Source organism: Homo sapiens, chromosome 3 (assembly GCF_000001405.40).
Source record: "Homo sapiens chromosome 3, GRCh38.p14 Primary Assembly".
Taxonomy (NCBI): Eukaryota; Metazoa; Chordata; class Mammalia; order Primates; family Hominidae; genus Homo; species Homo sapiens.
Genome location: NC_000003.12, coordinates 49,689,497 through 49,703,553, shown reverse-complemented (window position 1 = coordinate 49,703,553; position 14,057 = coordinate 49,689,497). Strand labels below are relative to the sequence as shown.

Here is a 14,057-nt window from a genome sequence, read left to right as displayed (position 1 = left end):
TCCCGGCCCACAGGCCTGTACACACCTTTGAGGGTCTTCCGCAGGTGCGAGAGGAGGCCCCCCAGGCGCTGCAGGTCAAAGTAGTCCACCTTGCCATTATAGAAGACCTGGGGCGGGATGTAGGCCTCTGCGAGGAATTGAGGAGGCTAGGCCAGTGGTCACGGCCCAGTAGGAAGACCCTCCCCACAGCCCTCCCCTCCAATCTGGCCTAGCACAGCCTGGGAATTCTGGCTTTGGCCACTCACCCATCCAGGCAGACAGAGAAACTGTCTCCTGGACCAAGAAACAGACCTCCCCTACCTCTTCTCCACCCCTGCCATTTCAGGTCAGAGCCAGCAGCTGCATAACTTGGGGTGATGGGGGTACTCATGGCAGCCGTTCACTCAGGAGAAGCAGAGAGGCCCAGCCCCAGTCCTGTGGGATATCCCCCAATCCAGGGCAGGTAAGGCTCCCACTGACCCTTGGGGACTCAAACACAGGGCCCCCCAGCACCCACCCAAGGCAGCCCTATAAAGGACGCACAGAGAAATGGGGGGGCAAGGACGGAAGAAAAGAGCCCACAATGGTAGGAGCCCGTGGGACAATCAGAGCAAACACAGGATCGGCAGGCCTGCGGTGCAGGGCTCCTGCTGCCCCAGTGGAGAAGCCGCCTGTGGCTGGGTAGGACTCAACCAGGCAGGATGCCGGGGACAACTCCCCACAGCCCACAGCCTCAGCTCAGCACTCTGCACTAACATTAGGGGCTGCCCTACGCCTGGCTCTGTCCAGCCTCACTGACCTGGGACCCCGGTGCCACTCACCCTCACTGAAGGAAGCATGAGGATTGGAAGCCTTGTATTCATCCCAATAGTAGCGCAGGGCAGAGATCAGCCGGTGTAAGAAGCAGACCATGTACTCAGGGGGGCAGAGCATGGGCATGTTCTGTGGACACCAGGCATGAAACATGCATTGGTGCCAGTCCAGTGCCTTGCCCATTCCTCATCCAAGGCCCTGCCTGAGGGTCGAGGGTTAAGCAGGGAGGGAAAAGCAGCAGAGAAAAGCTTGGGGCTAGGCAGGGATGAGGCAGTCCGAGAAGTGCCAGGTGCTGAGGGCATGGCATGTGTAGTGCAGCCGGGGATCCACAGTGGGCTGGCCTGGAGGACACCTACCCCCCGGCCACTGGCGTTCTCCTGCAGAAACTTGCGAAACTTGGTCAGGAAGATATACCTAGAAGCTTCACCCTTTGAGAGAGGGAAAAGTGAGGCTGTGCTGAGCTGAGAATGCAGGCCCAGACTGGGCTGGCTCAGTGCTGCACCTTCCCCCAGCCCCTGCCATGGGAACCAAACCCAGTTCCCACCCTCTGGGTCTTAAGGCCCAGTGCAGCATCCCTCCCCACAGGGCCCCACCCAGGGCTCCTGGGAGTCACTCACCCCATTGTCATCTTTATTGTCCAGCAGCAGCTTCAGGATCTGGACCTGTAGTTCTTCCACCACTGGAGGTCAGGTGAGGAACATGGCCCTCAGGCTCCAGGAGATGGGGGGCAGGTTTGGGCCAGGGCTCCACCACCAGGGTTCCCCAAGTCCCACCTAGACATGGGCACCTCCAAGCACCCTCATGTGCACACACACACCTCCCACCCTACCCCGTGCCCAAGGCGGGCTGACCTTCGATGCGCTTCCTGAGCCGCTGACAGCCCCGTTCGTAGGCTCGCCGCCGCAGCCGCTCCTCTGCGGTCTCCTCCTTCATCTCCGTGCTCTCTTTGCCCTAGGCAGGGGTAGCAGGTGGAATACAGCAGGGTCACCTGGGACCTAGCCAGGCCTCCTTCACTCAGAACACCCACACTCCATCTCCAGGGCTTCAGGGACCAGGGCCAGTGAAAAGGCCTCATGCTAGATGCCCAGTGGCCAGATGCCCAGGCCAGGGGCCTTGCCATGACCTCTGCCCATCCCACTTGGGGTGCACTCACCTCCCTACTGGAGCAGTGGGGCCACCAGGTGGTGGGAATGAGCTCCTGCAGGCCGGCCTCCTCCACACGCAGGGGGCTCTTGATGTAAAAGAAGACGACGGAGCGGAGCACGTCGAAGCTGGCGGGTGTCAAGGCAGGGCTCTGCTTGCCAAAGGGCACTCTGCACACCCTCAAGAGTCCTTCCCCAGGAGCCCATCCCTGGATGTGCCTACCACAGCTCTCCCACCACCACAGGGGCATGTTGCTGCTATGTGTCTGACCCCCAGGGCATGCTCCCTGACAAAAAGCTGTGGTGGTTAAGCCCACCAGCTCCAGTACCCAGCAGGTGCACGATAAGGGCTTGTCACAGGAACAGATGACTGTGGGACAAGCTGGAGAGAGGGACTGGTGGCCTTTTCTCAGGCCCCAACTCTGACCTCTGTGTCTCCCAGCTTTGTGTCTGCCTCCTGGAGGCTGGAAGACCCCAGACCAAGAAAACGGCTACAAGCTGAGGCTTCCCAGCCAGGGGCTCAAAGCTATGCTCTCACTCACTCATGCAGTTCCCAACAATTCTGGGAAGCAGGAAGAGCTGCCTCCTTAAAGATCTTGCAGGAATCCCCACTGTGGAACATGAACAAAAGTGCTGGGCTGTGGCCGAAGAGGGCAGGCCCTGTGGCCCCTCCCACACCTCTGCGTAGCCCGAGTCTGCAGTCATTCAGAACCCCCTGGCTAGGCTGGCTGGCCAGGCTCAGTCCTTTGCTCTCTCGTCCTTGCTCTGTAGAGAAAATGCCACGTTGGGCAGCTCTGGTCCTCCTGATGCTCCCAGGGGACCCCTGGCCTGATGACACTCCCCTTCCTGGCCTCTGCTGAGTCCAGAGGGCACCCCATGTCTGGCCTGCCAGGCAGCAAGGAAAGGATACAGGACATTGCTAAGCAGAAACTTGCGGGACTTCTCATGCCTCAGGATGGCGATAGTGAGCCGCAGGTAATGGATCTGTGGAGAGGGGGCGTTCAGAGTGGACAGGCGAGTCCCAGGGGGCTCAGGGCAGGGGTAGGGGCTCCCACCTGTAGGCCCAGGTCTGGGACAATGGGTGAGAATCGGTACAGCCGAAGCAGAGACATCATCAACTGCTTGAGGCAATCTTGTACCTCGTAGTCCTGGGGGAAGAGATGCCAAGGCAGCCATGACTGGGGCCTTTTCCAAGATTCTCCCCGTATCTTCCCGACCCCAGTGAAGACTGACAGCCAGGCCTGAGGCCTGAGGTCAGGAGCCTCACCTCCATGAAGAGCCACAAGAGGTCCAGGACCTGGTGCACCACGGACTGTGCCTGTGTGGGTGTGCCCTTCTCCACGATGCCCAGCAAGAAGCTCATGAGCACAGCCTCCACCAGATACACCTTGCGCTGCACCAAGGCCAGGCACTGGTGAGGTGGTGGCCTTCCACTCTGGTCAAGGCACCCCTGCCCTGGCACATGGCCAAGGCACAAGCCTCAGGCACAGAGCCTTGAGCCACTCGAGCAACACCAAACATAGATGACCCCTTCCGGGGTCTGACTGAGGGACAAGAAGGCCATTGCCCCACGGCTCCTCTAAGGCTTGGCACACGCAGTTTCCTTGGCCTGGGATGTTATTATCCTTCAGTCTTCTTTCCAGGACATCCCCTGATGCCCTTGGTTGGCAATGTCCCTGTTTCCCTAGGGGACTGACTGAGGTCTGAGGGCCCTGGTCACATGGGGCCCTCGCCAGGTGATGCTGTGGGACCTCAGCACTGCAGCCCTCAGTGAGGGCACATCTACCACGGGCGTGTCTAGCATGGCCTGTCTCCTCCCCTCCCATGCCCCTCCCAATGCCGCTCACCAGAAGCGGTGCAAAGTGATGGAAGATGTGGGCCAGTGTGAGGAGGACGGTGGGCTGGCCCCGCAACCGCCACTTGGAGCTCTCCTTGTCCAACAGCCGCCCCTCCTGTGTGGAGGGGGAGGAGGGAGAAGTGTGAGGGGCAGGAGGCTGTGGAAGCCCCCCACCCCGCCTGGCCCAGACCCCAGCTCACCACAGGGTCCAGCTCCACACTCAGCACTGCCCGGAAGCAGCCCAGCAACCTCTGTGCCCGCACCAGGTCAGCACTCGGTGGGTCCTGCAGGGGCCGGTAGCCTGCCACTGGGTAGGTGCCAGAGTTAAGCCAGCAACGCCTTATCTGTGGCTCAGACATGCCTACTCCCTCTCCACTGCCCACCCCCCACCCCGGGGCCTGGGCTCTAGGGCAGGGCTGGTTTGCATCACAACTTGCCCACTTATTCTCCCTAGGGAGGATGCTTCACATTCCTCATCTGTTCAGTGGAGACAAGGGCACCCAACCAACCAGGCTGCTGCGAGGAAAGTTTTCTTCGACACTCTACATGGCCCCCCACTAACTCTGCAGCAGCCAGGGCCTGCCACCAGCCCATGGCACCCCTGGGGTAGGGAGCCCCTCATCCCAGCCTCCCCAAGAGCTTCTGAGCAGCCCACAGCCATCTTCACAAAATGATATCGCAGAGGACGGCTGCCAAAGTTGAAGGCCACGGACTCCTTGAAAGAGAGGCTGATGGCTGGGAAGTAGGCCATACCCAGGCCCCTGGACAGGTTCTCAAAGGCAGTGCCCAGTGATACACCGTTCCTGGGGAGAAGGGTGGGTCTGTGAGCCAGTGCTAAGCATGTGGCTGCCCACCCTCAGGCTATCAAACTCAGTCTGGCCCCTTACAGGGCCCAGGAAACTGGGGGCAGTCTGGGGAGGCCCCAGGGGCCAGGCCTGTGCATAGAGATAGGAAACTCACAGGCAGAAGGACAGAGTGCCATCATCCAGGTCAATCAGGCAGCTCACGATGTCCCCCGCTGCCCACGCCTGCCATGAGAGGAGGCCTCACCAGATGCACAGAAGCCCAGCAGCCTGCTGACTCTGAACCCCAGCTGCGTTTCCAGAACCACCCAAGGGAGACTAGCCACAAGGACAAAGGACCTGGGTCCCTGACCCTTCCCTGGTGCCCTGTAGTCCCTTATGGCTGCCCAGTGGCTCCAAATAAGCTGTAGTAACAGTCATGGGGCGGATGACCCACAGGGGCTTGGCTCTCACCTTGCCATAATTCGTTGTGGTCACATTCCACTTGCGCACGCGGTTGCCATCATAGGCATAGGAGTTGTGTGTATCTCCAACCCCCTCCTAGGGAGGAAATGCCTATGAGGTCCCTGGTGAGGCAGGCAGGGTCTGGGCCAGAGCCCACCAATCACCAGCCTTGGATGCATATGGCTCTACAGAAGGGAACAGATGATCTGAGGGAAAGAGTAAGAGGTATTCTCTGAGCTGGGGTGCCTGGGATTGGGTGGGACACGTTTCTTCTCCAGAGGGCAGTCCAGGTTAGTTAGGGTCCTAGGCAGTTCTGAGGGGATCTGGAGACCTGATGAGGCCTGTGGCAGGAGAAGCTCTCCCTGGGCCCAGGGAGGGGTCCCCTCCCCAACGTGTACCTCCTGGTTGAAGCGGCAGCTGATGGTGCACCAGCCGATCTGCATGAGCCCCTGGGAGGAGATGAGGACCTCGTAGAGCCATTTCCCTGGAAAGAGCTGAGTTAGGGCCACGAGGTGGACAAAGACTGCCTCTTGCCTCATGCCTGGGCCCTTAAACTTTCTCCTCACTACCTAGGCCACAGCAGGGTAAGGTCTCACCTTTGTACACGCATGTGGTAGAGCGGATGGTGCCAAAGTTGCTGTGTCCAATCACCTGGGTGAAGAAGAGGGGTGGTGGGCTAGCTCCCAGGCACACAGAGCATCTCCCCAAGGGAAAAAGACCCCATCCCCAACTGAGCCAGCCCTGGTGGTATTTGCCTGTGGCGGCCAACACTGCACTGTGCCTGAGGACGGTGGGAGCGGGTAGGCTTGTATCAGGAAGGATCCTGGGCCAAGGCAGGATGAGAGAGGGACTCAGGGCTGTGCTGGGAAGGGCTGGGGGCTGAGTCCACATCAAGACTGTTTCAGGGCTTTAGTGGGAGAGTTTGAGGACTGAGAACACAATGGTCTGGGGCCACGTCAGGACAAGTTTTGGCTGCAGCCCCATCAGATGAGTAGAGAGACTAGGGCCACATCAGGAGGAGCCTGGGGCTATGTCAGAAGGGGCTGGACCTGGGTCTCCACACCTCACCCTCACTCACCCCCAGCAGGTCATCATCCACCAGGAGAAGCCCCTCAAAGCCGCCTGTGTGGTCCAGGACCACAGTGGATGGGCCAAGCCGCCCTTCAACCTGTCCTGAAAAGAGGAGAGGTGGGGTCAGGCAGGGTGGAGCATTTGACAGGATGCATAGGGTGTCCTGAGCTCACCAGACGTCTCCAGGCCCGCTACGTCCCAGCTCTGCACCTCCCAACCCCACTCCAGAGGTGGCCACATACCCTGGCTTTCCTCCTCCTCATTGTCCACCTGTAGCAACTGGTCCAAATGTTCTGGCAGGTTCTGGAAGTTCAGGGGTTTCCTGGGGAGAGTGAGAGGCTGCCAGGGGTCCACAAGTCCTTGAAATCAGCCAGATGACACTAAATCCCATCCTTTCCCCTGAGCTCACAGGGGGGCTGCCTAGACTCCAGAAAAAGGGCTGTGCCTAGTCCTAGACTCTGGCATGCAGGAGGTCAGAAGGCCGAATTCTCCACTAAACTCAAAAGTATAACCAGTCCAGGCCGGGTGTGGTGGCCCATGCCTGTAATCCCAGCACTTTGGGAGGCCGAGGCGGGCAGATCACCTGAGGTCAGGAGTTCGAGACCAGCCTGGCCACATGGTGAAACCCCATCCCTACTAAAAATACAAAAATTAGCTGAGTGTGGTGGCGCATGCGTATAATCCCAGCTACTCGGGAGACAGAGGCAGGAGAATAGCTTGAACCTTGGTGGGGCAGAGGTTGTAGTAAGCCAAGATCGTGTCATTGTACTTCAGCCCGGGCAACAAGAGTAAGACTCTGTCTCAAAAAAAAAAAAAAAAAAAGTATGTGGCCAGGTGCGGTGGCTCATGCCTGTAATCCCAGCACTTTGGGAGGCTGAGGCGGGCAGATCACGAGGTCAGTAGTTCAAGACCAGCCTGGCCAACATGGTGAAATTGCGACTCTACTAAAAATGCTGGGCGCGGTGGCATGTGCCTGTAATACCAGCTACTTGGGAGGCGGAGGCAGGAGAATTGCTTGAACCTGGGAGGCGGAGGTTGCAGTGAGCCATGATCGTGCCACTGCACTCTAGTCTGGGTGACAGAGCAAGACTCTGTCTCAAAAAAAAAAAAAAAAAGTAGCCCTCTCTAAGTCTTAATTCCTTCATCTGTAAAAACAGAATAGTGACTTATGTTAGAGATGCTGTGAAGAGCCCAGGGAATAACAAGTGCTGTCTGCATAGCACATAACCTGTCCGCTCTCAAAGGTGGCTGTGCTGATGATGTCTGGAAGAAGAAGGCTGGGAGAAATGCTGGTTCCCAAAGTGGTCAGTACCAAGGCCACCTAGTCCAACCCTTGCCCCTAGGCCTGTGGTTCCTTTGGGGCAGATTCCAGTCTCGCCACCACCCAGCCAGGGGAGTCTGTGTTGAATGGGACATGTTCTGGAAGTATGAAAGGCTCAGCCCTCTGAGCTGCTGGATGGCTCTGTCCTGTACCCGCCAGTCCATAAATGGTCAGCGGAGCACATGACCCACCTACCCGAGCCAAAGGAGTTGGGAAAAATCTGTCTGGGTGGCCCCCTCATCCTCTCAACACACAGGCCTAGAGGGAAAAGGGTACTGTCTAATGCCAGTCAGTGCTGTCCTGAGCTCAGCTGCTAAGAATAGCAGGGAGTGAGGTGGTGGTAACCAGCAGGACTCAGGCAGAACAGAGGCCCATTACACACCTGGCTGCCCACAGGGTGCCACCACCTGCTCTTCCACCTTTAATGCCAGTTCTTACCCCACTCATCCACACAGACAGAAAGCTCTGGAAGGGGACAAAGGTTGGACAAGCACCCTGACAAAGTAGCCACTACCCAGGCTCAGGGATCACATATTCCCCAGTGTAAGCCACTCCCAGCCCTGAGCTGTAGGAGCAGAGATGCACAAAGGCCCCTCCCCACTGCTGCTCTGTCCCAGGCCAAGGCCAGGTGGTGGCTATGCAGTCGGGGTGCTCAGCTAGTAGCATAGAAGGCTAAAGCCAACCCCATCTCTGAATACCCCAGTGGGCCCAAGGATAAAGGAGCCTTCCTCAAAAGCAGTTACAGGCCAAGCATGGTGGCTCACACCTGTAGTCTCAGCACTTTGGGAGGCTGAGGTGGGAGAATCACTTGAGCCCAGGGGTTTGAGACCAGCCTGGGTGACACAGTAAGACCCTGTCTCTTAAAAAAAAAAAATTAGCTGGGTGCTGTGGCATGTGCTTGTGGTCCCAGCTATGTGGGAGGCTGAGGTGGGAGGATTCCTTGAGCCTGGGACTTTGAGGTTGCAGTGAGCTATGACTGTGACATAGCGAGACCCTGTCTCAAAAGAAAACAGTTCTTAACAAGCCCACACTTGGAGCAGCTACTCTTGTACCTGACCCCAAAAGTCGTGTGCCTGATCCTGAGAGCAGACTGCACATATCTGTGGGCAGTCGGCCTGAGACAGCCACCACTGAGTGCCTACAGCACTGCCCATTTGGCCAAGACCAGCAACTTCCCTGACCTTTTTGGATCTCCTAGGTCCCAGTTCAGGGCCCTGAATACCCACAACCACTGACTGACAGCCCTACCACCTGCTGTCTCTCCTGGCGGCCACAGCAGCAGCAGCAGCAGTAGGACCATCTCTGGTATCACATGAGGTAGGGATCAGATGGCTCTGAGAACAGGCCAGGACTGAGTATGGGGTGGGGGTGGGCAGGAACTCTCTGCAAGCAGGCACTTTCTGACCACCACAGTTGCTTAAATAGAACAGGTAACGTTGCTGCCTTTTGGACCTGCCTAAAGGGCAGAAGTCGTAAAAGACAGAACAGCTAAGGCTGATGAGGGGGTGAGAGACAGGGACAACCGTGCCTCACTGCAGGGAGGGAGAACCTACTTGATCCTTTGAAGAAGTAATCTGGCAACAGTCTTAAAAGTGACTGCAGTTCAAACACTCTAGCCACACGACTCCAGCCCTGGGCATCCTCACAGCATTGTTTACAAAAGCAAAAGTCCTTCCAAACTAGGGCACTGGTATGGGCCACAGCAGACCCCCTGGCCCTAAAGATGCTCAGTAAGATAAATTGATAATGGGGAAAAATACTCACGGGATAACATTTGATGATAAAAATAGGATGCAAACTTCTATAGACTTTTGGAAGTGAGGGACATGTCCATTACCTTGATGGTAGTGATGGTTTCACGGGTTTTATATATATGTTAACACTTATCAAATTGTACACTTTAAGTATGTGTAGTTTATTGTATATTAATCATAGCTCAATAAAAACGTTTTAAGAAAAGAACTGAAGGTGATAAATTTTTTTAAAGTTTTCTATACAGCATAATCTGAACTACATACATTATAAGATAAACAGACATGAAGTTAAAAAGCTTCTGCATAGCAAAGTAAACGATCAACAAAGTGAAGAGACAGCCCACAAATGGGAGAAAATATTTGTAAACTACCCATCTGACAAGGGATTAATAACCAGAATATACAAAGAACGCAAACAACTCTATAGGAAAAAAACTAATAATTCCATCAAAAGATGGGCAAAAGATACGAACAGACATTTCTCAAAAGAAGACATACGAATGGTAAACAGGCATATGGAAAGGCATTCAACGTCACTGGTCATCAGAGAAATGCAAATCAAAACTACGAGATATCATCTCACACCAGCTAAAATGGCTTTTATCCAAAAGACAGGCAATAACAAATGCTGGCGAGGTTGTGGAACCCCTGTATGCTGTTAGTGGGAATGTAAATTATAATAGTGCAATCACTATCGAGAACAGTTTGGAGGTTCCTCAAAAAACTAAAAATTGGTCAGGTGCGGTGGCTCATGCCTGTAATCTCAGCACTTTGGGACGTCGAGGTGGGAGGATCACCTGAGGCTAGGAGTTCGAGACCAGCCTGGCCAACATGGCGAAACCCCATCTCTACTAAAAATACCAAAATTAACTGGGTGTGGTGGTTTGTGCCTGTAATCCCAGCTACTCGGGAGGCTGAGGCAGGAGAATTACTAGAACTTGGGAGGCAGAGGTTGCAGTGAGCCAAGATCATGCCACTGCACTCCAGGCTGGGCAACAAGAGCAAAACTCCATCTCAAAAAAAAAAAAAAAAAAAAAAAAAAGGCCAGGCACACTGGCTCACGCCTGTAATCCCAGCACTTTGGGAGGCCGAGGTGGGCGGATCACGAGCTCAGGAGATCAAGACCATCCTGGCTAACACGGTGAAACCCCGTCTCTACTAAAAATGCAAAAAATTAGCTGGGCATGGTGGCGGGCACCTGCAGTCCCAGCTACTTGGGAGGCTGAGGCAGAAGAATGGCATGAACCTGGGAGGCGGAGCTTGCAGTGAGCTGAGATTGTGCCCCTGCACTCCAGCCTGGGCAACAGAGCAAGACTCCGTCTCAAAAAAAAAAATTTTTCAAAAAAAAAAAAACTAAACTAAAAATTGAGCTACCATATGATCCAGCAACCCCACTGCTGGGTATATACCTGAAAGAAGGGAAATCAGTATATCAAAGAGATATCTGCATTCCCATGTTTGTTGCAGCACTGTTCACAATAGCCAAGATTTGGAAGCAATCTAAGTGTCCATCAACAGATGAATAAATAAAGAAAACATGGTACATATACACAACGGAGTACTATTCGGCCATAAAAAAGAATGAGATCCTGTAATATGCAACAACATGGATGGAACTGGAGGTCATTATGTTAAATGAAATAAGCCAGGCAGAAAAAGACAAACATTGCATGTTATCACTTATTTGTGACAGCTAAAAATTAAAACAATTGAACTCATAGAGGCAAAGTACTGGATGGTTACCAGAGGCTTGGAAGGGTAGTATAGGGCTTGTGGGGAGATGGGGATGGCTAATGCGTACAAAAAAATTGAATTAATGAGACCTATCTGGTAGCAGAACAGAGTGACTATAGTAAATAATAATTGTACATTTAAAAATAACTAAAAGAGTATAACTAGATTGTTTATAAGACAAAAGATAAATGCTTGAGGGGATGGATACCCCATTTACCATGATGTGATTATTACGCATTGCATGCCTGTATCAAAGTATCTCATGTACCCTATAAATATATATACCTACTACATACCCACAAAAATTAAAAATTAAAAATGTAACACAAAGAAAGAAACAGAAAAGAATCACATTTGAATAGTCATGTTAAAATAACAAGATAGCAGGTGCTTTTCCTTCTTTTTTTAGAGACAGGGTCTTGCTCTGTCACCCAGGCTACAGTGCAGTGGCATGCAGAGGCCAACTCACTGCAGCCTCAACCTCCTAGGCTCAAGTGATCCTCCCACATCAGCCTCCCTAACAGCTGGGACTACAGGTGCACACCACCATGCCCAGGTAATTTCTGTATTTTATTGTAGAGATGGGGTCTTGCCATGTTGCTCAGGCTGGTCTTGAACTCCTGGACTCAAGCAATCTACCCACCTTGGCCTCCCAAAGTGCTGGGATTACAGGTGTGAACCACTGTGCCTGGCCCTCTAAGTTTCTGCTAAAATGTACTTGTAACTTTTATACTGACTACACTTAAAAGTATTAAACTTGTAAAGAAAAGGCCCTGGAGGAGTTTGTTCTTTACAAGGTCAGTCAGAAGCTACAAGGGGCCAGGCTGGGGCCAAGGTGAGGGCAGGTACATGCAGGGGCAGATGCTGGGTATGGAGTAGGTGCCAGGTGCTAGCTGGGCATGAATGTGCACCCGCTCCCTGACCTCTGCTCCCTGACTCTCAGAAGGAACTAGCACTGCCTGGAGACAGGAAGAAGCAGAGTACGGAAGGCAGACTCTCTGGCCAGAGATCTCGCAGCCAGGAGCACAGTGAGAACAGAGCCTAAGCCTATCTGTCCAGAGCCCAGGCTCCCTTTCCCTACAACTGCAGCCTCCTTATTCTGGTCTGGCCCAGCAGAGTGAGGAGGGGCCACCCACCCAGCCATACCTGCTGGTGGCTGCTGGGGGTGCATGTTCAGAAGAGGAAAAGATGCGGTTCAGGTAGTCATTCAGCAGCTTCTCCTGCACAATGCCTGAGCCACAAGTCAGAAGGGAGAAAAGGGCCACATGATCAGTGCAGCTCCTGGCCCCTGCTGGCCCCAGAGACTTCTGGTCCTAGGCCAGCCACAGGTGCAGCAAGGCCTGAGGCCTTTGTCCCTTCCTTCTCCTCCCAACAAGAGGAGCCTCCTTCCTTCCCTGCCAGCTCTTACCTGTGACCCTGGATTTCTCAGCATCTGAGGTCAGCCTATAGCTCTTGCGGGAGAAAGACATGCCGGCCCCCTTGGATGCCATCCTTCATCTCTCATGGGCAGCCAGTGGTCCTGGGGGCTGAGCCAGACACAGAGCCTGTCTACTCAGGGCCAGCCAGGGGCCCCCACACCTGACCTCAGTCCTGCCATGGCAGGAAGGCTTGGGAGCAGGTGAGGCCAGGGGCATGCACACTAACACATAGGGCAGGGGAATGCAGGGGCTCCCAGCTTCCTACACAGGGAGGGTAGCCAGGGTCTAGGCCCATGTAACAGGGACCACTTCTTGTTCTCCAGTGTCCCTGTGCCCAGCACAGGGCTGGGCAGAGAGCAGGTACTAGATATATTTTTGCCGAACCATAACAAAATGTCTCAGCTCTGTGGAAATCAGACCAAAATGTCCAAAGTGAGGTGTCCTAGGGGCAGAGCCCCTGTATCCATCTCAGTTGTAAGCCATACTGAGTCCAGCTCACAACCAGAAGCGACAATCCTACACATTCCCCCAAGTGCAGACCACCACTGGTCTGGTCATCTCTAGCCATAAGTCCCACTTACTCCCCACAAGGCTGGAGCCTCTTTCCTCAGCCCTGGGTTCCTCCCTTCTTTTATCCATGGTCCTGATAGTTTCACCATTCCCACTCACACATGTGGCCTCCCACCTCATCCAAGCACCACCCTTGCCCAGCCCTCATGGCAAACTCCATTGGTCCTCCTAGTGCATCTATCCCTCACATCATGTTGCTGCTGCAGCTGCTCCAGAACCTGCACTGAGTCCCTGGTGCTGGCCTCACTGATGTGTAGCGGTGCTGTCCAACACAGCAGCCGTCATCCACATGAGGTTACTTAAATTTAAAGTTTTAAAAATTAACAATTCGATTTCTCAGTTGCCTTAGCCACATTTCAAGAGTTCAATGACCACATGTGGCTAATGGTTACTCTGTTGGACAGCACAAAGGTAGAACGTTCCCACCATCATATAAAGTTCTATTAGACAGCGCAGGTCTAGAGTTTCGCTCTGCAGCACTGCCTTAGCCAGCACTCCCTACTCTGCAGTTCAGTCTCTTATCTCACCCCAAACAGACCCTCTACTCCCGCCACAAACCCTTGTGGGTCTGCACCACGCCTGCTCCTCGGGAAGGTGATTTTCCCGACCTCGGGCCCTCGGTGGGCGTCCATGATCGGTGCCCCTTCACTACCAGAGTAGTTGAAGATCTGATTAAACTCAGTCATTCATTTGATGAGCAGACCTTCCAGACACCCGGAGTGGGCTCCGGGAGTCAGTTGCTGAGGACCCAGGTGAGAGGCGGACCTTGTCCCCGCCCGGGGACTCCCTGTCACGGCTATCCCGTCCAACCCCGCCGGGGTATCCGGACTCAGAACTGAACCTACTCCGTCTGGGAGCCCAAGGACGGCGAGGGCGGCGCATGGCTCCCCCAAGTCGCCCCCGCCTGGCCCCAAGCTCCACAGGACCTGCCAGACCAGCTTCCGCTCGGAGTTTCGCACCCAGATCCCTGCGCTGCAGGTGCCCTCGCACTGGACTAGCCCGGACCGCGAAGGGAATAGCCGGAACCCGCCAGGCTCAGAGCCCTGCCGCCCCTCACTCACCCGGAGCCTCGGCCGCAGCGACCCGGCTCACAACATCCGCCCAACCTCTTGGCTACGGCGTCCGTTCAGGGCCAAATCACGCGCACGCTTGCGCGCTGAGCCTCCAGCCG

The 14,057-nt window shown here is 54.7% G+C and overlaps 1 protein-coding gene across 2 annotated transcripts in view; it reads right to left on the bottom strand.

Annotated features, from left to right (window-relative positions):
* RNF123 (ring finger protein 123) overlaps nt 1-13,997 on the bottom strand; it is a 31,973-nt gene extending 17,976 nt beyond the window's left edge. For both annotated transcript variants that reach the window (NR_135218.2, NM_022064.5), the window contains exons 1-21: nt 13,948-13,997; nt 12,307-12,424; nt 12,045-12,129; nt 6,332-6,411; nt 6,097-6,191; nt 5,615-5,669; nt 5,417-5,502; nt 5,028-5,114; nt 4,732-4,799; nt 4,449-4,574; nt 3,972-4,086; nt 3,782-3,886; nt 3,202-3,327; nt 2,990-3,082; nt 2,845-2,918; nt 1,946-2,063; nt 1,644-1,743; nt 1,410-1,471; nt 1,149-1,220; nt 801-921; nt 26-127 (exon numbers count right to left, since the gene is read on the bottom strand). Coding sequence is in view for 1 of the 2 variants with exons in the window: in NM_022064.5 (NP_071347.2) it covers nt 26-127; nt 801-921; nt 1,149-1,220; nt 1,410-1,471; nt 1,644-1,743; nt 1,946-2,063; nt 2,845-2,918; nt 2,990-3,082; nt 3,202-3,327; nt 3,782-3,886; nt 3,972-4,086; nt 4,449-4,574; nt 4,732-4,799; nt 5,028-5,114; nt 5,417-5,502; nt 5,615-5,669; nt 6,097-6,191; nt 6,332-6,411; nt 12,045-12,129; nt 12,307-12,388 (1,852 nt within the window). In the remaining variant the exon portion in view is untranslated. The remainder of the gene's footprint in view (nt 1-25; nt 128-800; nt 922-1,148; nt 1,221-1,409; nt 1,472-1,643; nt 1,744-1,945; nt 2,064-2,844; nt 2,919-2,989; nt 3,083-3,201; nt 3,328-3,781; nt 3,887-3,971; nt 4,087-4,448; nt 4,575-4,731; nt 4,800-5,027; nt 5,115-5,416; nt 5,503-5,614; nt 5,670-6,096; nt 6,192-6,331; nt 6,412-12,044; nt 12,130-12,306; nt 12,425-13,947) is intronic.